The 23,943-nt window shown below is 46.4% G+C and overlaps 1 protein-coding gene and 1 long non-coding RNA gene across 2 annotated transcripts in view, besides 8 other annotated features; one reads left to right on the forward strand and one right to left on the reverse strand.

Annotated features, from left to right (window-relative positions):
- Window positions 1–23,335, reverse strand: part of LINC02923 (long intergenic non-protein coding RNA 2923) — a 29,875-nt gene extending 6,540 nt beyond the window's left edge. The window contains exons 1-4 of the long non-coding RNA NR_187213.1: window positions 17,238–23,335; window positions 12,801–12,943; window positions 11,615–11,701; window positions 10,657–11,477 (exon numbers count right to left, since the gene is read on the reverse strand). This is a non-coding gene — a long non-coding RNA (long intergenic non-protein coding RNA 2923). The remainder of the gene's footprint in view (window positions 1–10,656; window positions 11,478–11,614; window positions 11,702–12,800; window positions 12,944–17,237) is intronic.
- Window positions 16,592–16,811: an enhancer, noted in NCBI's record as "active region_15411". NCBI's record gives its function as "activates an Ori minimal core promoter by ATAC-STARR-seq in GM12878 lymphoblastoid cells {active_cell/tissue: GM12878}" and the evidence as "EXISTENCE:reporter gene assay evidence [ECO:0000049][PMID:35858748]".
- Window positions 19,135–19,429: a silencer, noted in NCBI's record as "tiled region #13479; HepG2 Repressive non-DNase unmatched - State 21:Repr". NCBI's record gives its function as "represses a minimal TATA promoter and a strong SV40 promoter by Sharpr-MPRA in HepG2 cells {active_cell/tissue: HepG2}" and the evidence as "EXISTENCE:reporter gene assay evidence [ECO:0000049][PMID:27701403]".
- Window positions 19,135–19,429: an enhancer, noted in NCBI's record as "tiled region #13479; K562 Activating DNase matched - State 13:Ctcf". NCBI's record gives its function as "activates a minimal TATA promoter and a strong SV40 promoter by Sharpr-MPRA in K562 cells {active_cell/tissue: K562}" and the evidence as "EXISTENCE:reporter gene assay evidence [ECO:0000049][PMID:27701403]".
- Window positions 20,933–21,282: a silencer, noted in NCBI's record as "silent region_11216". NCBI's record gives its function as "represses an Ori minimal core promoter by ATAC-STARR-seq in GM12878 lymphoblastoid cells {active_cell/tissue: GM12878}" and the evidence as "EXISTENCE:reporter gene assay evidence [ECO:0000049][PMID:35858748]".
- The window catches only part of KLHL29 (kelch like family member 29), a 323,428-nt gene continuing 320,680 nt past the window's right edge, over window positions 21,196–23,943 (forward strand). Inside the window, exon 1 of the mRNA NM_052920.2 lies at window positions 21,196–21,797. The gene's annotated coding sequence lies outside the window, so the exon portion shown is untranslated. The remainder of the gene's footprint in view (window positions 21,798–23,943) is intronic.
- Window positions 21,453–22,312: a silencer, noted in NCBI's record as "silent region_11217". NCBI's record gives its function as "represses an Ori minimal core promoter by ATAC-STARR-seq in GM12878 lymphoblastoid cells {active_cell/tissue: GM12878}" and the evidence as "EXISTENCE:reporter gene assay evidence [ECO:0000049][PMID:35858748]".
- Window positions 22,553–22,672: a silencer, noted in NCBI's record as "silent region_11218". NCBI's record gives its function as "represses an Ori minimal core promoter by ATAC-STARR-seq in GM12878 lymphoblastoid cells {active_cell/tissue: GM12878}" and the evidence as "EXISTENCE:reporter gene assay evidence [ECO:0000049][PMID:35858748]".
- Window positions 22,693–22,862: a silencer, noted in NCBI's record as "silent region_11219". NCBI's record gives its function as "represses an Ori minimal core promoter by ATAC-STARR-seq in GM12878 lymphoblastoid cells {active_cell/tissue: GM12878}" and the evidence as "EXISTENCE:reporter gene assay evidence [ECO:0000049][PMID:35858748]".
- Window positions 23,033–23,082: a silencer, noted in NCBI's record as "silent region_11220". NCBI's record gives its function as "represses an Ori minimal core promoter by ATAC-STARR-seq in GM12878 lymphoblastoid cells {active_cell/tissue: GM12878}" and the evidence as "EXISTENCE:reporter gene assay evidence [ECO:0000049][PMID:35858748]".

The following is a 23,943-nucleotide window of genomic DNA, read 5'->3' on the forward strand; positions in this document are numbered from 1 at the left end:
TAAATCCTCCATTTCCCCCACGTTTTCCCCTCAGGGCATTTGCTGGCTCTCAAAGGATGTCATTGAGACAGAGCAGAAACATTGGCCTAGACCTGCAGCAGCCTTGCTAATCTGGACAGACAAAAATTAGAGTTCAAAGCTACCAAAGTGACCAGAACAATGGGGACCCTTATCCTGGAGAAATAGGCCATATAGAAATGAGCTAGGCATTCTGTGTATGACTCCCCCTCAAGGGATTTTCTCATTCCTCACATTGCATTTGATGGGCAAGAGACCGGGAAACTAAGCCGTAAACAGGCTGGAAACCCAGCAGAGTTTGAACAATCTCAAAGTGATGGGGAGAAAAAATATTGAATTTCAGGGCCCACCAAGAAGGAGAGATGTTGGTAAATAGCCTAGATTTTCCGTTGAGACAACAGAAGGATTATACAGTAGATGGACACTAAGAGTAAAACCAAGCCAGACATAGACCATCCCTCACAAAGCCTAAAACTCAGTCTCTAAATATCTCAATTTGTGATTAGATCAAGGTGATTTGCCCCCTCTTTAACTGTTGCTGGGGAAAAAATAAACACCTCTGTAAAGGAAAGCAACATTATCTGGAGCCTCAGCGATATTTCATTCGCAATATCCAGTATTCAGTCAAAAATCACCCAGTATTCCAGGGGATATGAAATGAAGCCAAGTTTGAAAAGGAGAGAGACTTTAAAAAGAGACGTATAGGTGGCCCAGGTACTAGGGTTAACAAACAAAGACTGTATTAATAGTTTATTAATATGAATAAATATTTTCATCAAAAAATAGATTAAAAGGTAGAGAATTGGAATCTAAGAAGAAACCCATAGGAACTGAGAAAGACAATAACTAAAATTAAAAATTCAACAGAAGTCGAGTGCAGTGGCTCACGCCTATAACCCCAGGACTCTGGGAGGCCCAGGGAGGATGACTGCTTGATGCCAGGAGTTCAAGACCAGCCTGGGCAATATACTGAGACCCTCATCTCTATTTATTTTTAAATTTAAAAATTAGCTGAGTGTGGTGGCACACACCTGTAGTCCTAGCTTTTGGGGAGGCTGAGGCGGGAGGACTGCTTGAGCCCAGGAGTTCAAGACTGAAATGACCTATGATTTCACCACTGTACTCCAGCCTGGGTGACACAGCAAGACCCTGTCTTGAAGGAAAGAGAGAGAGAGAGAGAGAGAAGAGAGGGAGGGAGGGAGGGAGGAAGGAAGGAAGGAGAGAGAGAGGAAAGAAGGAAGGAAGGAAGGAAGGAAAGAAAGAAAGAAAGAAAGAAAGAAAGAAAGAAAGAAAGAAAGAAAGAAAGAAAGAAAGAAAGAAAGAAGGAAATTCAATAGATGGATTTAACAGCAGAAGAAAGGATTAGTAAATTGGCAATTAGGTCAGCAGAAAAATAACCAAATTGAAGCAGAAGGAAAAAAGATTAAACACACATGTATGTACAAACAGAGCGAAGGAGACAGACAGAGAGAGAGGGAGAGAGAAGCATAAGAAAGATGTGGGACACAATGAAAAGAACCAACATAAATGGAATTTGAGTCCAAGAAGTGGAAAACAGAGAAATGGACAGAAGCCATGTCTGAGGAGATAAAACCCAAGAATTATATTAATATACAGATTCAAGGAGCTCGAGCAAAATTCAAACACAGAAAAACAAAGAAAACGATACAAAGGCACATTAGAGTAGAGCTCCAAAAAATCAAAGACAAGAGAAAAATTTAAAATAGCCAGAGGAAGGGAAAAAAGATACATTAAGGAGCAACAAGACCTAATCCACACAAGCAGTAGAAGCCAGAAGACAAGAGAAGGATGAAGATAAATGCCAAAATAAAATAACGGGTAGCCTAGAATTCTACAACCAGTGAAAATACCCTTACAAATGAAGGTTAACAAATATCTCAGGTGAATAAAAACTGAGCGAATAGTGAATGTGTTGTCAATGAGTGGATAAAGAAAATGTGGTATATATACACCATGGAATACTACACAGCCATTAAAAGGAACAAAATAATTTATTTAACAGCAACTTGGATGGGGCTGGAGGCTGTTATTCTAGGTGGAGTAACAGGAGTGGAAAACCAAATACATATGTTCTCACTTATAAGTGGGAGCGAAGCTATGAGTATGCAAAGGCATACAGAGTGATAAAATGGACTTCAGAGGCTCAGAAGGGGGAGGGTGGGAGGGAGACCAGGGATTTTTTAAAAATACACATTAGGTACAATGTACACTACTGGCAGGACAGGTGCACTAAAATCTCAGAATTCACCACTATATAACTCACCCATGTAACCAAAAACCACGGGTACCCCAAAAGCTATTGAAATTTTTTTAATTAAAAAAAAGTGTTGTCAACATAGACACACTAAAAAAAATACTTTAAAGGGAGTTTACTCAGACAAAACAATCCAAGTTAGAAGAACAGCAATGCAGAAAGCAATAGAGAGCAAGAAATGGTACATATGAGAGTACACTGAAATGCACATAGTCTATTTCAAACAATAAACATAAGAATGTCTTATAGGATTTCAAATACGTAGAGAAAAAAAAGCACAACCAAACTAGCATAACAGAAGAAGAGAGTTAGGTAAATGGAATCAAAGTTGTATGAGGTTCCTGTATCACCCAGAAAGTGGTGAAATTATTAATTGAAGGGTAGATTCTGTTAAGACATATGGTAAATCTCTAGTACAGGTTGTTAAACTGTCTCCATTGCCAAAATCAAGCCCAGAGCCTGTTCTGTACAGTTGAAGAGCTAAGAACGTTTTTTGCATTTTTAAAGAATAGTGGGGGTAGGAAGAGAAGGAAGAGGAGGAGGAGGAGGAGAAGGATTGGGAGGAAGAAGGAAAGTCACAGACTGAAGGTGGTGCTCAAAGCCTAAAATATTAACTTTTTTTTTTTTTTTTTTTGGAGGTGGAGTCTCGGTCTGTCACCAGGCTGGAGTTCAGTGGCGCAATCTCGGCTCATTACAATCTCCACTTCCTAGGTTCAAGCGAGTCTCCTGCCTCAGCCTCCCGACTAGCTGGGACTGGAGGCGTGTGCCACCACACCCAGCTAATTTTTGTATTTTTAGTAGAGACGGGGTTTTACCATGTTGGCCAGGATTGTCTCGATCTCCTGACCTCGTGATCCGCTCACCTTGGCCTCCCAAAGTGCTGGGATTACAGGCGTGAGCCACTGTGCCTGGCCAATATTTACTATTTAACCCTTTACAGAAGTTCATCAGCCCCACTCTGGGTAATACTAAACAAATAATAAAAGAATGTATAACTTACAACCTAATAGAGGGAGGAAATAGAATAATAAAAAACAATTAAAAGAAGGCTGCAAAGAGAAAAATGGAAGAAAACTAGATAGAACAAATATAAAACAAATAATAAAATCATAGAATGAACACCAAAAATATCAGGAATGTATTAAAATTTAACTGGACTCAATAATCCATTAAAGTAAAAAGATTGCCAGACTATAAAAACAAAACAAAACAAGAAGACTCAGCTATATGTTACTTACAACAGACAGAAACAGAAACAATTTGCCATGAAAACACTAACGAAAAGAAAGCTGGCTTAGCTATACCGATATCAGACAAAGCAAGACTGTAAGGCAAGAAGTATCTCCAGAGATAAAGAGGAGCATTTCATAATGACAAAAAGCCAATTCAGCTGGAAGATTCGATAATCTGAAGTTTGTATGCACCTAAAAACACAACCTAAAACGTGCAAAGCAAAAACTGACAAAAATAAAAGGAAAAGCACATCCATTATCATAGTTGAAGATTTCAAATACATCTTTCAGTAACTGATAGAATAAACTTTCAGACAATAAATCAGTAAAGATACAGACTTGAACAACATGATAAACAAGGGTGACCTTAGTGACATATACAGAACACGGAGCCCAGCAATAACGGGATTACATTCTTTTCAAGTATGCATGGAACATTTAATAAAATAAGTCATATTCTGAGTCATGATGCAGATTTCAGTACATTTCAAAGGGCTGAAATCATACAGAGTATGTCCTCTTACAAGTGTGAAAATGTAGTAAAAATTAATAGGAAACATTCTTTAAATCCCCAAATGTTTGAAAATGACTAAATAACACTTCTAAATAACCCATGTTTCAAAACAACAAATCGGAAATTTACAATTTTAATGGAAATTAGAAAATATTCTGAACTGAATAATAATGAAGAACCAACATGTTAAAACTTGTAGAATAGAGTTGAAACTGTGTTTAAAGGAATAATGTATACCTTAATTACGTATTTTAGGAAAAAAAGAATGAGAGAAAATCATTGATTTAGTGACCATTTCTAGGAGCTAGAGAAGAACATCAAATTGGGACAAATAAATTAGAAGGAAAAAAATAATAAAAATACAAGCCAAAAAATGAAATAAACATAAAATAGAAAAAAAAATCAACAGAGCCAAAAATCGGTTCTTTGAAAAAACTAATACAATTTACAAATCCCTCAAAAGACTGATCAAGAAAAAAGAAGGAATGAACTACTAATATAAATCATGAAAAAGGTGCCATCACTAAAAATCCACACAAGCATCAAAGTGGCAATCAGATGATGTTCTGAACAACTTTGTGCCCCAAAATTTGACAATTTAGATGAAATAGACCATTTCTTTTTTAAAAAACACACACGGCCGGGCGCGGTGGCTCACGCCTGTAATCCCAGCACTTTGGGAGGCCGAGGTGGGCGGATCACGAGGTCAGGAGATCGAGACCACGGTGAAACCCCGTCTCTACTAAAAAAATACAAAAAATTAGCCGGGCGCAGTGGCGGGCGCCTGTAGTCCCAGCTGCTCGGGAGGCTGAGGCAGGAGAATGGCGTGAACCCGGAAGGCGGAGCTTGCAGTGAGCGGAGATCGCGCCACTGCACTCCAGCCTGGGCGACAGAACGAGACTCCGTCTCAAAAAAAAAAAAAAAAAAAAAAAAAAAAACACACACAACTTGCAAATATTGACACAAGAATTAGAAAGCCTTTATTTTTCTTTTTTCCATTTTTAGTAAAGACAAGATCTCATTATGCTGTCCAGGCTCGTCTTAAACTCCTGGGCTCAAGTGATCCTCCCGCCTCAGCCTCCCAAAGTGCTGGGATTCCAGGCATGAGCTACCTCGCCTGGACAGAATTAGAAAGTCTTTATCATCCTATCCACTAAAGCTGAATATTGCATTGCCGTGATCCAGTGATTCAATCTGATAAACGACTACCGAGACATACTGAATATGCCCTGAAATGTTCTTAGCGAAACTGTTTCTAAGAGATTAAAAAACACTGGAAGCTACCCAAATGTTCATCAATAGTAAAAACATTAAATATATCATGGCGTACTCATGCAGTGGAATACCATACAACAATGTAAACACTGAACTACTCCTCTAGGCAACAACACAGATGAATTTCACAGATACTAATGTTGAATGAAAAAAGCCAGATACAAAAAAAAAATACTGTGTGATTCCATTCATGAAGCAAAACTATTTTGATGAAAGGCAGATGTCAGTTACTTTGTGGAGGTAATGAGTTGGAAGGGTATAGGAAGCCTTGGGGATGTGGGTGATGTTATGTATCTTGAAATGAGTTTGTCCACTCTGTAAACATTTATCAGGCTATACTCTTAAAATTGTGTACTTTTCTGAGTATATGATAATGTCAACTTTTTAAATTTACAAATAAATATTAGGCCAGGCACAGTGGCTCACACCTGTAATCCAGCACTTTGAAAGGCCAAGGCAGGCTGATCACCTGAGTTCAGGAGTTCAAGACCAGCCCGGCCAACATAGCGAAACCCCGTCTGTACTAAAAATACAAAAATAAGCCAGGCACAGTGGCGGGCATCTGTAAACCAGCTACTTGGGAGGCTGAGGCAGGAGAATTGCTTGAGCCCAGGAGGCGGAGGTTGCAGTGAACAGAGATCCTGCCACTGCACTCCAGCCTGGGTGACACGGAGAGACTCTGTCTCAAAAAATAAAATAAAATAAAATAAAATAATATAAAAATTAAATAAATCTCTGATGCAAGGTTGTTTTTGGGTGTCTGTGTTTTTCTAATAAAAGTAAACAGCAACACAATATTTACCCCTTCGTATCTTTATAAATAGAATTTGAGAGCACTTTAAAAGCTTGACTCTTGGATCACATTTTTCCCAATACTCGATTGGAAGAATGATTCCCCTCCTGCTTGGGAAGAGACAGTTCTCTATATCTGTTGACCTACAGTGTAAGGAGGATAAAGTGTGAGATTAGGAGGAAGGGGATTTGACCTCCATCTAAGAAGCCATATCAGAAGGATTCACCCATGAAAGCAGCGGAGTCCCCAACAGCGAATCCAGCAACAGATTCTCAACTTTCTGACTATTGGGTTTTCTAAAATGGGTATTTATAATACAATAGACACCATCTTAGCACTCATTATTCAGTGTACCCTTCACCTCTAAGAGTTTGGATGATTGAATGGTGCCTTTCATGCCAGAGGGGTGACTGCTTTTGCAAAGGCATCAGATTGGGGTACTTTTCACCAGAGAAATCCTTCCTCCAGTGAATCAAGAGAGAAAAGAGAATCCGAACGAAAATGAATACATTAAATTTTAAAGACAAAAAGGTAAAGCATGGCAAAAAGTTTTTGCCATGGTTTTCCCATACCTAGATTTACTTTGTTGACTGAAGTAGTGTTGTGGGTGTAAGTGATTTTTTGAAGAGCAAATTAAAAAGACTTTTTATATGTCCCAATAGACAACAACATGGGTTAGCTAATGGCATTGTCATCTCTAAGATAATTACTTTTGTAATAATCTGTTTATTAATAAAGTGATCTGCAAAATAGATAATGGTTTCTTAGGATTTCAGGCACACAGATCCTTCCTTCTGCACATTTTGCTTTGTCTTGCAAAAGTATATCATGAAGCAACTCAAAATTTGCTGACAGATTTTCTTAAGTACAACAGTTTCAGAAATGCATGCTCAAGTAGGTTAAATATGCCCACATTCATTGGATTGTGCCCTTAAATTATTCTGTCTGGTAATGGAAATGTTTTAAAGCTGGTTGTGATGGCTGCACACCTCTGTAAATTTACTAAAATTCATCGAGTTGCACACATAAAACAGATGAATTTTATGATATGTAATAATTCAATAAAGGTGTCTTTTTAAAAAAGGAAATCAATTGAACATTTAAAAAAATTATTTCCTCTGTTTCCCCATCTTGTTACGGCAATACTGAGTGTTGAGAAAGAAACATTTCAGGGAAAGATAGCAACTACACAAATGCTAATTAGATGCAAATATGGAGAAAGAAGATTCAAGAGTCCTAGTGGCCCACAAGTTGAACAATGAACACAAGTCAGCAGCAGAACGTTATCCTTTCTGCTGTTTTGTGTTTTTTTTAGAACATGTTCCCTTTCAGGACATGTTCTAAACACAGTATCTTTTATGCCTTAACACCAGAGATTTGGCATAAAAATGGAGCCTGGGTACTCCCAAAGTCAGTACATAGTTTAATACTTATTCTCACTTATTACTTGTTACTCTTGCTACTTCTTTTATCTTAATTAAATACCACCCTGTTCAGTTCTTATGTTGTCTGTGTAAAGGTTAGTATCCACAGGCATGTGGACTTGAGGACAGGAATCATATTGTATTCTTCCTTGTACCCGGAGTCAGTGAGAGCACCTGGCCAGAAAAGGCCCCATTTCTCTCCTTCCTGGTCCAATGCCTGGCAAAAAGAAGATGTTCAAAAATGTTCATTTCCTTCCTTTCTAGAATTTAGGTGCTCCATCAACACCAAACCTATAATATAGACTTGATAAAAGAGGCCATGGCACTTCCGTGTGGCCCATAGAGGAAGCATCAGCTCAGGAGGGTCAGCGTGGTCCCTGCAGTTGAATAGGATCTGAATCCAGTGGACAGGAGGCCCTTTCACTTCTCTCCAGCCATCCAGCCATTCCTTGCATCACAGTCAGTTCACAGCCCCCAACCCCAGGCAAGCCCTTCCTGCGCCCTGTGGACTCTTTCGTCCACCTGCTAGATTCTGGCAGACTCTTCCTGGTGTCACAGTGACCCCTCCACCTGTGCCTGAGGCTCTGTCCAACAGGCTTTGCGCAGCCCACATCCAGCTCAGCTTGGACGCAGGGCCCAGCCCAGTCCAGCCCAGCACAGAGAGAATTGTGCCTCAGCTGGAGGGTGGATGGTGCTCTGTGGTTCCAAATGGCCAAGGCTGGGAACACTGGAAGGACAACCACAGAAGAGATGTGACACACTCACTGTCCCAGCCACTTGCTCACTGCCCACCTCAGTAGGACCTCCTAAGCTCCAGGAGAAGTGGGGGCTTCAAACGGATCTGTGCTTTTTTATGTCTGCCCAGGGCCTAAATGCCATCATCCCAGAGCCTGGCATCACTGTTCCTGCTGCCTGGCAGAATCAGTAGGTTTTTAACCTGCATTTCTGGAATCTTTTTACATTATCCCTGACAACTCTGTTACTTTGGGTTAAAAACAAACTTTAGCAGCTGTGTAACCTTTAGTCTACAAAGATTGTCAGATCCAAATCCAGAAAATAACACTGCTTCAAACTCCTGTAGCTGAGAAGGCCCAAGGTGACAAAATCCAGGAGGGGAGAAAGCTGTTAGCTGAGGATGCTAAGGAGAGAACAGGGGGAGGCCAGCTACATTTCATATTAGCCAGAAATGTCTGACTTATGTTACATTTTGGAAAACACAGGCTGCAATAATGTCACCATTAAATTAACACCATTAAAGAAAAGCGATTATTAGTGCTTAGAGTTATAGACTCTAATAATAATAATAACACACACAGTATAGCATCCGAGTGGTTAAGGGTCTGGCTTTGAGAGTTACATCCAGATTCGAATCCCAGTCTCACCATTTTATGGCAATGCTGTGTGTTTACCTAACTTCTGTGTGTCTCTGTTTCTCTATTTGTGAAGTGGAAATGATGCCCAACTCTTCAAGGTAATGAGGGATTAAATGAATGGAAGTGAAACTCAAAGGACTTGCAGTAGACAGAATACCAGCCCCTCAAACATGTTGTCTTCCTAATTCCCCAAAGCTGTGTATATGTTACCTTATATGGCAAAAGGAACTTTACAGATTTGATTAAATGAAGAGAGGGACCTAGATTATCTGGGTGGACCTAGCATAATCAGAAGGGTCCTTCTGAAAGGGAGGCAGGCAGTTCAGAGTCAGAGATAGCAATGCCATGGCAGAAGAGAGGTCAGAGAAAGAGTTAAAGACACTTTGCTGCTGGCCTTGAAGACCAAGGAAGGAGCCAAGAGCCAAGGAGTGCAGGCAGCTCCTGGCAGCTGGAAAAGGCAAGGAAAGCCTCCTAGAGCCTCCTGAAGGAACACAGCCCTGCAGATGCCTCGATCTTGGCCTCTGGTTTCCAAAACTGTAAGATAATCCATGTATGTCGCTTTAAGCCACGATTTTGGGGTAATTTGTTACAGGAGCAAAAGAAAACTACATGGGGCTTTGAGCCTACTTCAGCACAGCGCCCAGCACATTCTACGATGTCTCCAAGGGCAGCCAGAGCTAGTAGCTACTAATAGTGACATTAGCGATTCCTTTGTGACCAAACACCCATCAGAGGCCTTCAGCTCTTCCAGGGGACTTTCTCCTCTCCACTCGGTCATCTCCACTGACAGGCGCTCCCACCCCAAGAAGCTCCTCTGTTTTAGGCAGCTGCGAGATGGGTACAGAACGGTCACTCTGGGGTAGACCTGAAATTTGCCTGCTAGGGCTTTCCCGAAACCAGGGCCCCTCTGCTAATGACATGCCTTCGGATAACTGCATGCAGGTCTCAGAGGCCTAACCCCAGAGGCTTCATACCTAAACTCTGAGTTTTCTCACCTTCAGACTGACCTCTTGCAGTTCCTTAAACGTTTCTCACATGACAGGATTCAGAGCTCCCTCCCTGAGACACATCGCTCGTCTTCCTCTCCACACTCTCAGGCATCTCACAAAAGGGAACTCACCACCAAATGCCACATTCCAGGTGTAAAGAGCACCTCTTTCATGCTTCCCTCAATTTAACCCAAGACCACATTGGGCTTAGAGCAGCTGAACAACGTGCCGCATTACTGTCAGCTGAGATTCTTGTTTTTTACTCTCTGCCAGACGCTTTTGCCTCTTGGCCCTGCACTCACACAGGGACTGTTTGGACTGGAGCATCTGACCCTACCGTTTCTCTGTTTCATCTTATATCATTACATTTAGCTTAGCACTGTAGTCTTTGGGCCCTGGTGTGTCAACAAAAGTATTCTCTGCATGTCACCTCAAAATGTGTTAGGTATTAACTAAGTCATCTATGTCCACACACTAATAAAAATATCAAATGCGACACGCGACGACGACTGTGCCTTCAACTAGAAATTTACTTCCGCAAAGACATTGACTAGCATCTTTGGGAATGGCCACAAAAACAGTTCTAAATCCACCTAATAGGCATGCTGGTCTGCAGCTGAAATTACTTCATCTCATGCACGAATTTATCATGAGATTCCTTGGCAGATACCAAGCCGAGGTGTGCTTTGTCTCTACCATAGCTAACACAATTCCCTGACATAATAATCTAGCAAGCCTACCACGAAACTGGGAATACAGTTACCTTGTCGTGGCTTGCTCTTAAAGAACCCACACAGGCTTCTAGAGGATTCTGCTCCATTTTTCACGTACTCACAGCTCAGCCTTAAGTAGTCTGATCAGGGAATTTAATGAGGATGGATAGGATAGCCCCACTTTTGTAGTTTGCAGAAGCTTTCCCCCTCTTTACTAATCAGAGCTATATTTTGCCATTTCTAGCGTTCCAATTTCTTTCACAGTCTCCATGTTCTGTAAAGATTATCAGCAGAGGCTTTACAGCTTCAGAGGCGAGTTCTCTCTACTCCCTGGAGTGTAATTTGTCCTGGCCAGGAGACTTGAGCTCATTTACGGCAGCTTGGTGCTGTTAGAATCTTTTCACTCATCTAGAGCTTCAATTTTCTCTTACCAAAGTTTTCTTTTTCTTTTGAGTCAGTAGATTGTTCTCCTTGGCAGACAAGAAGGGGGCAGAGTTCTGCTCCCTTGCTGTCATTCTAAAATGCAAATAGCGTGGTGTTCCTTGGTCAGCGTTAAATCCTTGGGTGGCTGGCTCCCCTTGGCTTTCAGCAGTGATTCTCAAACTCCCCTGGAGTACTTGTTAAAAAAGCAGATTCTCCAAATCTCCTCTCAGAGGCTGTCAATTGCCATGTTAGCCAGGGTAAAACTAGCTGTTAAAACAAATCCAAAGATGTACGGAGTCTCAAACATGATAGAACTTCTCATTCTCCTAAAGCCCAATAATGAGTGTTCCGAATTAGTGGGTGGTCATCTCCAAATAGTAATTCAGGGATTCAGGGTTTCCTCAATTTTTGTTGCTCTGCCACCTTCAACATGGGGCTTCCAAGATCCCTGCGCAAAAACATAAAGAGAAGGAAAAGTGTATGGAGAAGGTGCAGGGCAATTTTAATGGCTCAGGTCTGGAAATGGCAAGCATTAGCTGCATTCACATTCTATTGGCTAGATCTCAGTCACATGAGTGCACCTACCTGCAAAGGAGACTAGAAAATTGTCTAACTGCCAGGATGCTGGGAGATGTAGTCTCACTCCAAAGGACGCTGGGAAATGTAGTCAAGCTCAGGAAGAAAAGAGAGTTATGCTGAGCAGTCTGCCCATATGGACATAAGATAAGGCTTAAGAAACTGCATTTTCATGAACCTCCCAGGAGATTCTGATGTAAGACCCCATTTTGACCAACACTGCCGTGTCCACTCCCAGTACAGGCACCCAAGGCCTTGCGAAGTGGGTTCCACAGTTCTCCCCAGCCCTGTCTGCACCTCCACCTTGCTCTAATCATATAAAACACTAGCAGCTCCCCAGCCTGCCAGGCTACTTCACGCCTCTGTGCTGGGTGTCTCCTTTTTCTCTGCCCTTTCTCCCTTGGTTCACTTGGCGAATTCCTGCTGATCCTTTGAGACTCAGTTCAAGTGTAATCTCTTCGACCAGGTCATCCCTGACCCACCTGCCCCAGGTAGCACTGCAGAGCCTTTCCTCGTGTCCCTGACCTTCCTGGCCAGAATCTCATTATGGTATTGATTATGCTGAATGGCATTTTGCATTTGCGTTCCCATTTGATTGGGAGACCTTTGAGGGCAGTGACCTTTCCTTTGTGTACTCTGCACTTCACACCTTGCCTGGTACATCGTGGTTGTCAGGCAGTCAGGAAGAGCTGGCGCCACAGAAACTGACCACAATCACAGAGCAGTTCCTTTCTTGATTTTCTGCCCATGTCAAAAAAAAAAAAAGCTTTTTTTGGTTGTTGTTATCCTTACAATTTCACTGCCTTAATTTATTAGACCTAATTAGCAAACTAGGCTTGTGTGACTCTGCTACACCTATCGCTCCTTGTTTTCCCTTTTGCCAGCTCTACTCAAAGTTGAGCTTCTCCAGGAGCTGCCCTGGTCTCATCAGCAACCTGTTCCCACCTTACTATTTCTCTTCAAGTGCACTGGCAATTTACACATTTGGAATTCTACCAGGAGTTCTCCCACCTTCTTGAGCCATCTCTCTTCTTTTTGGAGTCTCATGTCCTCTGATTTCTTGGGGACTGTCAGAAGCCTGAATTACTGAAATCTGGGAAATACGTCCTGTCATCCTTCCATTGTCTAGAAATCATGGAATCTAAGATGATTGTTGAGGTAGCCAGCCTCCAAGATGGCATCCAATGATCCCTACCTCCTGGTGTTCACAGTCTGTGTCCTTTCTCACAGTAAACCAGGGTCAATTGTGTGGTCAGTCCACGATTGGGCTCACTCTCTTACTCTCTCATACGCTCACTCTCCTTCATCACTTGCTGCTCAGGCAGAAACCAGGTAGCCCTGTAAAGAGAGCCACATGGCAAAGAACTGAGGCCTCTAGCCAACAGTCATGCGAGTAAACTTGGCATTGAATCCATGAGCCCCAGTAGAGACTCGAGATGACTGTAGCCTCAGCTGACGTCTGACTGCAACTTTGTGAGAAACACGGAGCCGGGACCACCCAGCCACACTGCTCTTCGATTCCTGACCGTCAGATAGTGTGTGAGGTAATAAATCTTGTTTGTTTTAAGCTGCTAAGTTTTGGGTAAATTTGATAGGCAGCAATAAATGACTAATACAGTTGGGCTTCTTTCATTCATTCTCATCTTATCTTTCAGTCTCCTTTAGGTCAGACTTCAGCAGCATGTAAGATGCAGCCATCATCTAGGAATGCCCGGAGCTTCCCAGAGCAAGGCACTGTTCAACTTCCACTCTGGTTTTGAGACAGATGAAGCTTTAACCTTCATCTAGCCGGACTCCCTCCTACTACGTGTCTGCATGAAAATTATTGCATATTTAAATATGTACATATTTACATATAAAAATATGTAATATTGTTAAATATTACTAAATATTTAAAATAAAAAGAAACAAGAAAAATAGAGTTTTAAGCAGTGTCTGTTGCATAGTAAGTGCTGAACTACTATCTGCTTTTGCTGACATTGTCATCATTCGTACATCATTATTTCATGTACTGTCGCCCCAATTCACCGTTCCATTGCTTTTGAACAACACATATACATCAACTGCCACACGTCAATTTTAATTCCCAGTAAAACTGGCCTTGAGTATAATGATAAGTCACAGCTGTACCCTTTTAAAATCTCAAATTCAGTTTAATTGAATTTACCTGTAGACTGCCAGGCACAGTGTCTCAGACCTGTAATCCCAGAACTTTGGGAGGCCGAGGCAGGTGGATCACTTAAGACCAGGAGTTCGAGACTAGCCTGGCCAACATAGAGAAACCCTGTCTGTACTAAAAATTAGCTGGGTGTGGTGGCACACTCCTATAATCCCAGCTACTCGGAAGGATGAGTCACAAGAATTGCTTGTACCCAGAAGCAGAGTTTGCAGTGAGCCAAGATCGTACCACTGCACTCCAGGCTGGGCACAGAGTGAGACTGTGTCTCAAAAAAAAAAAAAAAAAAAAAGATTTTACCTGTAGACTGGTATAGAAATATCTTAGATTTCAAATCTTGTTCTGACTCTTTCCTAAAGCTGCCTATTCTCCTATTTAAATTCTGAGTGTATCTAGTGAAATTTTACATTAGCCAGAACTCTCTAATTTTGAAGTTGTCCTGAAGCCATATCGACATTATTGAGGGTTTAGACTTTAACTAAAAAATACTCATTGCATTCTAGGAAAATTCACAGCCACCTAAAGGAGATGTGTCTGATTCGCAATCATTTTCCTGAATCTGCAATAAATGAATCTACAAAGGATTGAAATTTTTTTAACGAAAATTGTCTGGTAAATATTTTTAAGGGTTTGAGAGCAGTGAAAAATGTTAACAGGCCTACAGCGTTATACTTTTCCACAGTTAGCATTTGTTTCCAAAAGTCTAGAGGAGAAACCTTTTATCTCAACAATACTACATTCTTCCATTTGTAATAGTCTCTGATTTTTAAGTAGTTACTATTCAAACCATTTTATAACCTGATAGAAATGTTCCTTCCTTTCTACAGTCAGGTAACCCGGCATATTTGCACTATTTTCCTTAGAGCCTAATTGTGGCAAACCATTCATCATGAGTGCCTGAGGCCTCTACCTCATCACCTATCCTGTTTCATTCCTAAAAGCCTTCTTTTGCCCCGTGTTTTAACCTGTGAGTTAACCTGTGAGTTGCTCAAGGCCTCTTGGAAGTAGCTGGGTGATACATCTTAAATAAATGAAAATAAATTAGTGTGTTTCTGACCAGTTGGATGTGAACTGAATTTCCAGTAAATCAGCCACAGATTAAGTATCTAAGGGAATAGGTTCACTCAAGGGAAGCCCATGAATCCTTTTGTGATGCAAACTAGAAAATCCTTCTGCTTTACAATTTTGAATTTTCATATATCATATTTTCTTACAGTAAGGTGCACCTGGACCAGATGGTGGCTTGTATCACAGACTTTAGGCTATTTTTAAGACCCTCGGTAAATATTCAGCAGGTACCCTGGTGAAATCATCCCTTCCTTGTCACCCTCTGTTCCCTGGGCATGAAGCCTCAGCAATGCTGTTAACATTCATGTTTCCACTGGGTGTGGTCTCATAAATGTTTCCTCCTGGACCCCTCAGCACAGAAAGTGTGTGCAGCTTCACAGATTCTGGTAGGGGTGAACATGAAGAGGAGATACAGATTTACATAGTCCAGAGGACCCAAAATAGCTGAAACCACTAGATACTTCACACTGCAAACCGAGGTTAATCTCAGACTCTGAGGCTGCATGAAACTTGACCCCCAACACTTCCATCTCCAGGGAGAATAGAGAATGTGTGTCTTGGAAGACAGGCTGTCATTTGCTTGTGACCGTGACAGGCTACTTCAGCTGTGGGGCGGGGGGGGGGGGGGGGGGGGGTACGGTGATTACCAGTAACACCTGAGACAGAGCCCTGGACCCAGGCGTGTTCAATAAATAGCTGATGAAAATGAGATTCACTGCCAAGTCACCACGAGGTCATCCTGTCTCCTCCTGCTGTGCTCCCCCTGTAGCCCATGTGGACTGGGTCCCCTCTCAGGCTGCCTGGGTCCCAGCAGAGGGCAGAGGACAGTGGAGGGTCCCTGTCCTGGGGACGGTCAAGGCAGAGCAGTCACCACCTGTGCTGGGTGAGTGGTCACTGGCCTTCCTCTGGCCCAACTGGGGGCTCCAAAATGACCATAATTACAAACCTGATACTGGCCCTACGTCCTACCAAAAACCCAGAGGGAGATGGAAACAGTGGCACTGATGGATTCTAGAGTTGAACAGGAGGTAGGTGGGACCTTTACCTCTTTTTTCTTAAAAACAGCTTAAAAATACATTTATGCCAAGAGCTATCAGGGCTCAATCCTCTCTCAAAAGTCTCCTGAATTTTGGCCGGGCATGGTGGCTCAGGCCTGTAATTCCAGCACTTTGGGAGGCAGAGGCAGGCAGAACACTTGAGGTCAGGAGTTCAAGACCAGCCTGGCCAACATGGTGAAACCTCATCTCTACTAAAAATAAAAATAAAAATTCGCCAGCGTGGTGGCACACACCTGTAGTCTCAGCTACATCGGAGGCTGAGGCAGGAGAAATCTCTTGAACTGGAAGGTAGAGGTTGTAGTGAGCCAAGATCATGCCATTGCACTCCAGCCTGGGTGATAGAGTGAGACTCTGTCTCAAAAAAAAAAAGTCTCCTGAATTTTATCATTAGTGAACATGCTTCAGTGAGTGAAAAAACACTCTAAAATTCAAACTAAATTTTCCTTGCAATCTATCCTAACAATCGTCTGGGTCTTATTTTTAATAATCTGTCATAGAGAAACACCGGCCCCTTCTTTAACATTGAAAAAGGAAAGTGACATTTTGATCACTGTCAACAATTTAACAACCAATAACTATATACTGAGCAACTCTTCAGTCCATTCCTCCGGACACCATGGATGAAGAATCCCATTACCAATGGAGAGAGCGGAAGCTGCTCTCTTAAACGCCCAAGCAGTGTCTCATGTCAGTTTGGGAATCAGAGCCACCCAGGAAAATTGTTAGTGGCTCTGTCTAATTAGCACTCCTGCCACCTGCAAACAAGTGGTACTAAAAAAAGGTGCTGAATTCTTGCCATTGAGAATGCCAAAAAAAGACACCACTGGTTTCATTCTGACTCTTAGAATCTAATATTTCACTGATTTGGCGGGCTGGGGGTGGTGGGAGGAGGGGGGAAGGAAATACACTTTCACTTTCACCCAAAGGAAATGACTTAACAACAAGTCGTGTTTTAGAAACGATCATATGGTAATGAGTCCTCCAATCCAGCAATCCTCCCTCCCCTGACCTCCTGGCCCCTGCCTTCCCCTCTGCCTGGTCTAGGCTCCCTCTGCCTCCCACAGAAACTGCCTTGTCAGGTCCAGTCTTAGACCTTCCTCCTCCAGGAAGGCATCCTGACCAGCCTAGCTCTTAGGGAATCGTCCCCTTAACCCCACAACACTTGAGAGTCTCTTCCCCACAGGTGAGCACGAAGTTATATTTCTTGATAACAACTGCTGTTATCTTAACCCTTGTCAAGAACAAGAGCCAAGTATTGTATTAGGAAACCTCGATCACTTTTTGGAAAATAGGCAGGGTAAAAATGATTGGCGTATAAGCCGCCTTATACCTTCCCTGTCTTCCTGAGAGTCGCCAGCACAGAGTTGAGCAACAAAGCAGGTTCTCAGTAAATGGTTGATTGCATGATTGGCAAATGCCTTTGTGACACATCACAGAGCACGGTGGCCATGGTGAAAATTTGGCAGCTGTGACTCCTTACTTCCTGCTTTAATCAACGTCATGGGATTGAAATGCTGGACACACAGTAGGTGCTAAATAGATTTTTATGGATTGATTAACCACTGGAGGGACTGTGCCTTATGTGGGATTTATTAATGCTTTTGATGCCAAATAGGGGTGGTTTTAATAGAGTATAATGTGTTTAAAAAAAAAAAAAAAGAAAAACCAGCAAACACAAAACCCCAACCAGGACAGAGGCTGGCAGCTGCTCTGTTTACACCCACCGTGCTCCTGGAAACAGATGTCCTGTCAAACCCGAAGGTTTCTGATGAGGCTTCCACTCTTCCGAGTGACCTGAGTGTTCAGTAATCAAAGGGACCTGTGCCCTTCTACATTAGTGCTCTCTGTTCTATGACTGATCTCCAGTTATGTGTCTGGGGTAAAGACTTTTGCTGATGAAGGCAAAAATCAGCATCTACTGTATCTACTCCAAGGGAAAAGCACTGGGCTAATGACAAAAGAAACTGCATTTGTGTGTTTGGTGGGGTAAAAAGAACAGAGGCTTTGGGACAATCAGGCTGAAATTCCAGCACTGTCACTTACTGTGTGATTGCAGGTTCTCATCTACCCTCTCTGGAACTCAGTTTTGGGGGCTGATAACACCAATTCCACAGGTTGCTGTGAGGATTAACAAGATATCATGGGTAGAGTTCTTGGTACAGTGCCTGACATATAGTAGCCACTGGGTAAAGGTCCTTTTGTTGTGGCTATTATCATAAACACAGACAAGGACAGAAGTCCACCTTGGCCACTGTGGGTTTATGTGGCACCCCAGGTGTTCCTGATGTGACTTCCTCTGGTTCCTCCTTGGGTGATGGTGGCCTTTCCAGTACAAGTCCTTGTCTGATTGACTGCACAGATAATGGTCTATGATCTGAGCGGGGAATGGATGTCCTGGAGTGTTCCAGTCCACTTCCCTATGCACTATGAGTCCGCTCCTTCACTACCCATCTGCTTGGAGTGTACACATTAGTCCTGATCCCAGTGCCCAGATTGGGGCTCAGGACAGGGAGGGTTGGCTTTTGGAGAACACACCACCAAGTCAATCCTGTGTTTCATGGAGAAATCTTTGACCATGGTGTAAGAGGTTTCTGGGCACAACACACGAGTCCCATGAACCACACAGAGAGATCCATGCCAGTCATGGGGCCCATCCCATGGGCCACAGAGTAGAGCAAAGAATGACCCAAAAAAGATCCCAGACACCAGCAAGATCTACGTAGAGAGAGAGAGAGAGGAGACCCCTGACACAATGCAAATCCAGTTTATGTTGCCAAGACACTAGATGCGCTGGGACAGATCATGTGAACAACAGCACTCTGAAATGGAACTCATATGCAGACCAGCGCAGACCCTTCATAAATGGCTGTGTCCACACTAAACAGCTCCCAGCAGGGCAGAGCATCAATGACGAGGAAGCCTTGGATAAAACGAGGATGGGTGAGGACAGGGTAGACAAGCCCACTGGGAGTCTAATTCACACAGCTTTTCTCATTCTCCCTGACAAGCTGGCTCCCCTGGTGAGCTGTTACCAAACTTCAGCCCTGAAGAGTTTGCGGTGCCCCAGAACCAGCGCCCTTCGCACCACCATGGCCCGAGTAGGTCCTCCTCTGGATAAGACCTCAGCACAGCTCTCTTTTCTGATGCTGCCAGCAGGGAAATTGGGAGCATCCTTTCTCCTTCATCTGGAGAGGTAGCTGAATAAGGATTCTTGGAGTTCCTATTTTCTTCTTTCAACTGAGGATCATTCAAAATCATCTGTAAGACACTGTGAGTGCCTCACATTGCCAGATCTTAACCTATCCCAGACCCTGCAAACCTTGGCCACATTTCTGTAGTGCCTACAGCTGTCACATAGGGCGCTACTCCAGAATACGGCTGGGTGGACTTCTGCATGTTCACAGTCAGTGCATCCATGGAGATTATCTCAGAGGACAGCTTCCTACAGCGTGGATGAACAGACACACGCCTGTGGCTTTGTTCTCCTTCTTTTTGCATTGGGTTGACCTGTGTATCAATTTGAAATCCCAAGAAATCCCTCTTTTTTCCATTTTGCTATCTAGTACTCTTCTATCACTTTTCATATACCATTTGAAGGACATAGTACTCAAACCAAAGCTATCGATCACCTTCAGGTGTTGTCTGAGGACCCTTGGGGAGCTTTTCTCCCCCTCCCCCCCACTCCTGCTCCCCTTTTCGGCACCTCTGTCACCCTCTCTTAAGGTCACGCCAGTTTTCCTGGCTGTCGTCCTCATGAAGGGTGGCTTCCTCCCTGAAGTGCTCCGCTCTGTCCCCTCCCTTGAGTCCCGGGCTTCACACACACAAACTCTGTTGGATGTTTTTTCCAGGAAATGCAGTTATTCTGACACTAGTGGGCCATTTCCCCGGCGTCCTCATTCCATTTCTGACAGTGCTCCTGCTACCCTCAGTAGATTATTATTATTTATTATTTATCAGCCACGACACTGTACTCTGCTTCCTACAAAATATTAAAGAAGACACAATCCGTGCGCTGAGTTTACAGCCAAGGAGAGCAGAGGCCTGGATCAGACATCACAGGGGGGGAGCTGAGAAGAAAATATTTACCGGCTCAGTCCTCCTTGGCCCTGGTAGATGGAGGCAAGGACTGGCAAAGCCCTCCCCAGGCCAGCTCCTCCCAGCTGGGCCCCCACAGCCAGCTCCCCACACTACCTACAGCACCCCAACTCCAATTTCTAGCAAGGCCTCAGGCCTCAGGCCTTTACCCGGGGGAGCGGAGGGAGGGTGGAGGATGAGGATTGGGCCCTCAGGCCTTTACATTCAGACAGGGGTGGAGGAGGAGGGCAGGTACAGATATTTCCTCTGAAACTCAAAACCAGGTAAAGGGGATGTAGGGGAGGAGGGAGAGGTCGGGGAATAAAAACCAGATTAGGAGAGCGGTCGGGGTGGAGAAGACTGTGCCCAGAGTGAAATATTCTAGCATAATGGAAAAGCCCTCATTGGGGGTCCCACACGCCTCTGGCCAAATCTCTTCTATTAGGGTTAGAAGTTAGGGTCTGTGTAGACAGCATGTGTAGACCGAGAGGTGGTGGGACTGAGAAGTCAGTGTAGACAGTGTGAGAGAGAGCGAGCTGTGGTGGGGGTGAGTAGTCGGTATAGACATCAAAGGCTGGTCAGGCTGTTAAACAGAGAAGGCTTCCTGGATTCCTAAGGGTCAGTATGAACAGAAAAGTCGCGCGCCCCAGGAGAGGCAGGGCTGACTCAGAAGGCTGGTGGACACTTTGCAGGGCTCTCCCTGGTCCTTCAGAGGTGTGGACAATTCCTGCTCCTTTCCAAGGCTGGAGTGTCATAAAGAGGGCGGAAGCTGAAAGACGATTGGACTTTTTCCTTCTCAAACTTTTCCGCCAGTTTCCTCAGGTGTTGAGAGCAGACGGGGAGCTCGCCTCAGTCCCGGGCCCCCAACCCTGGGCCAGCAAGGCCAGGAGGCCACGGCGGAGCAGCCCGTGCCACGCGCCGTGCGTCTGCCGGGCGCGGCCGCGGAGCCAGGCGAGCCGGGGGCCACCGCGGGGGGCGGGGGCGGCGGACGGACGGACCGACGGACACACCCGCGAGCACTCCAACCTCGGACCCGGCGCGCGGCAGCCGGGAATCCCTCGGGCCGGGGAAACTGCGCACGGGGCCCGGCCTGGCCGGGCCGGGCCAGAGGGCCCCGCCTCCCCCACCCGCCACCCCCGCCCACTCGGGCGCCCGTGATTGGCTCCGCCCGCCCCTGGCTGCGCGCCGAAGCCCGCCTCCCTCGCAGCTAAAGCAGACGGTACCCGGAGCGGAGCGAGCCAGAAGGGAGCATGGTCCCCGCGCCGCGGCCGCGCCAGCCCCCGCGCCGCCGCCGCCGTCCCCGCCACCGCGGATCTCGCCGCAGCTCCAGCCCCGGCCCCGGCTCCGCAGCGCCCGTCCGCAGCCCCGGCGGTCGCCGCGCTTGAGCGCAGCCCCCGCCCGGAGCCCGAGCCGCGAGCCCGGAGCCAGCCCCAGCCCCGCGGCCGCCGCGGCTGCGGGGAGAGGGCGGGGGCGATGCTGCCGGAGCCGCCGCCGCCGCCGCCGCCTCGATGAGAGCCGCGCCGCACCGCTCATAGCCGCACAGGCTGACAGGCAGGAGGACCGACTTCCCTCTCCCGGGCATCCTCCCTGGGCTGCCGGGAGGCGGCGGCGGCGGAGGAGGAGGAGGAACGAGGGGAGAAGGCGGAGAGCAGGAACGCGAGGAGGAGGACCTGGATCCGTTTCCTCCGGCCAGGACCCGAGCGGCCCCAGCCACCGCTACCCGCCGGCGCTGTCCGCTCTCCATCAGCCCTCCTGCGCCCACCCGCGACCCCGGGCTCTCTGCGCGTCGGGCCGGGGCCGGAGCCGCGCGCCGGAGGTAAGAGCCGGGCCGGGCTGGAGCGCCTCGGATGCGGCGCCGGAGGGAGACCCAGGTCCTGGCCGCCGCGTGGGGCCGGGCCGGGCCGGGCGTGGGAGCGGGGCCGGAACCCGGAACCCTGGGCTCGGCTTCGGCGGCGGCGGCGGCGACAGGAGCCTCCCGCGTCTGGACTCGCAGGCTGCAGGAGCCCTTGCGCCTGCGCTGCTCCAGGGGGAAAAAAAGGGGGGGAAAAAACTTCCTGCCCCCGGGTGTGTATGCACCGGGGCTGCCTGGGGCCACTGTCACGGTGTTCGGAGGTGCTGGAGGCTTGTGTGACCCCTGGCCGGAGCAGCCCCCCTGCTGGGCCCGGCGGCGCGCGCCCCTCTCCAGGCCACGTTCCCCTGAGCGGCCCAGGGCCCCGGCCGGGCAGGAGACCTGGAGGCGACGGAGGGCTGGCCCCCAGGGGCGGCCGCGCGCACTGTCCTTTGGGGAGGTGCGCGCCTCTGTGCAGCGAGAAGCCAGGTTGGGGTTTTCTGCCCCTCGCGTCCTCTGATCTCGCATTTGGGGACTGGGTCTCTTTACTCAATCCCAAGTAACTTTCGAGGTAGATGAGCTCGAAAACCGTCGGGAGGGAACCCGCACAGACCTTATTGTGACCCACCCCACCCCGACACACACACGCACACTTCCCTTGACACCTTGTGGGTGCCAGCGTGTTGTGGGGGGACGCGGAAAGGAGAGCTCACGGGGACGGCGAAGCGGCCAGGAGGTGGTGTCGTTGGGGAGGGGTTGTTGATGTGTGGGACAGGGTGGACCTGGAGATGTGTAGTGTGGGAGTGTGAACGCGCGCCCCGATGGCCTCGGGGGGCCGGGGGAGCCCAGGGCTCGCGTCCCGGTCTCCGTGGCCTGGAGCGGGCTGAGAGCGCTAGGGTTATCTGCGGTCGCCGCGCGGGTGCCCGCGCTGGGCAGCGTCGGCCCCGGGCCCCAAGGGAGGGACGTGCTCGCCTGGGGCCGGAGCGCGGGGCTGGGAGCCGGGGTAGGTCGGAGGTGGCTCTTAGGGCAGGTCGCCTCTGCGTTGCCTGGGGAAGGCGGGGACGCGCTGCCTGCCTGCGGCCAGCCGTCTCGGAGGAGGGGGTGGCGGCCACGCGCGAGTCTCGGATGCCTGGGTCCACCCGCTGAGAAGCCAGTTGTCGTCCCTGGGCTGTGGAACCAAGCGGCAGACGCGGTCCGTTGGCGGGCCCTCGCGCGGGCCCCCAGAGATGCTGATGGGTAAGGAGCTGCCGCCGCCGCCGCTGCCATCCCCGCCGCTCTGCAAACGTTCTCCTCCCTCCCTCCCGTGCTTGCGCCGCGGCGCGCCCCGGGCGAATCGTGGACGCAGGTATTTATGTAGCATTAGGCGAGACCTCGGCGCTGGAGGGACCAGACCGTGGAGGACGCCGAGCTGCTGCTGCCTGCGAAACTTCCACTTCGGCAGCTCAGCGGCATCCCGGCCCGCTGCTGCAGGTTCCAGCCTCTCTCCAGTCCAGCAACGCTGGGATTCGGACTCCTCTTGCAATGACAGATCTGTCCTGGTTACGGCTGTATTTATACTAGTTTCAGTCTCTTTAAAGTCATCTGTCTAGTCACTACAGAGTTTCTTCCTCGCCGTGTGGTCTTATCACTAACTCAGCCCTGGGAGGGCAGATTTGAGGAATTGCTTCATTTTCAGATGAATGACAGCAGACTTGTCCCACCTCATTCCTGATTTATTATTATTATTATTATTATTATTATTATTATTATTATTATGGAAAGAAGGTATAGAGCTTTTTAATTTTTTTGTGAGGGAGGAGAATGAACAATTTTATAGATTGTTCTTTCCGACACTTAGAGAAAACATGTCCAGTAAGCACTAGTGAATACTTTAAAGGCTGGTTGGCATGCGTGTATTTGATTAGTCCATAATCTAGGTGTTTATACAGGTATGGAGCTGTGTGCTACTGATGAATAGTCTCCGTCCCATACATTGTGCTGGAGTGCACTTGATTTATCACCCTGCTATAAATCAGGGAATTACTAGCACATGTGCCTTTTAAACTCTATATGAATTTAATGGCATTTAAATTGGTTTATGGGCTGATGCATCTAACCAATTTTAATAACTTTTCTGCACAAACATCTTATAAAC

This window comes from Homo sapiens, chromosome 2 (assembly GCF_000001405.40).
Source record: "Homo sapiens chromosome 2, GRCh38.p14 Primary Assembly".
Taxonomy (NCBI): domain Eukaryota; kingdom Metazoa; phylum Chordata; class Mammalia; order Primates; family Hominidae; genus Homo; species Homo sapiens.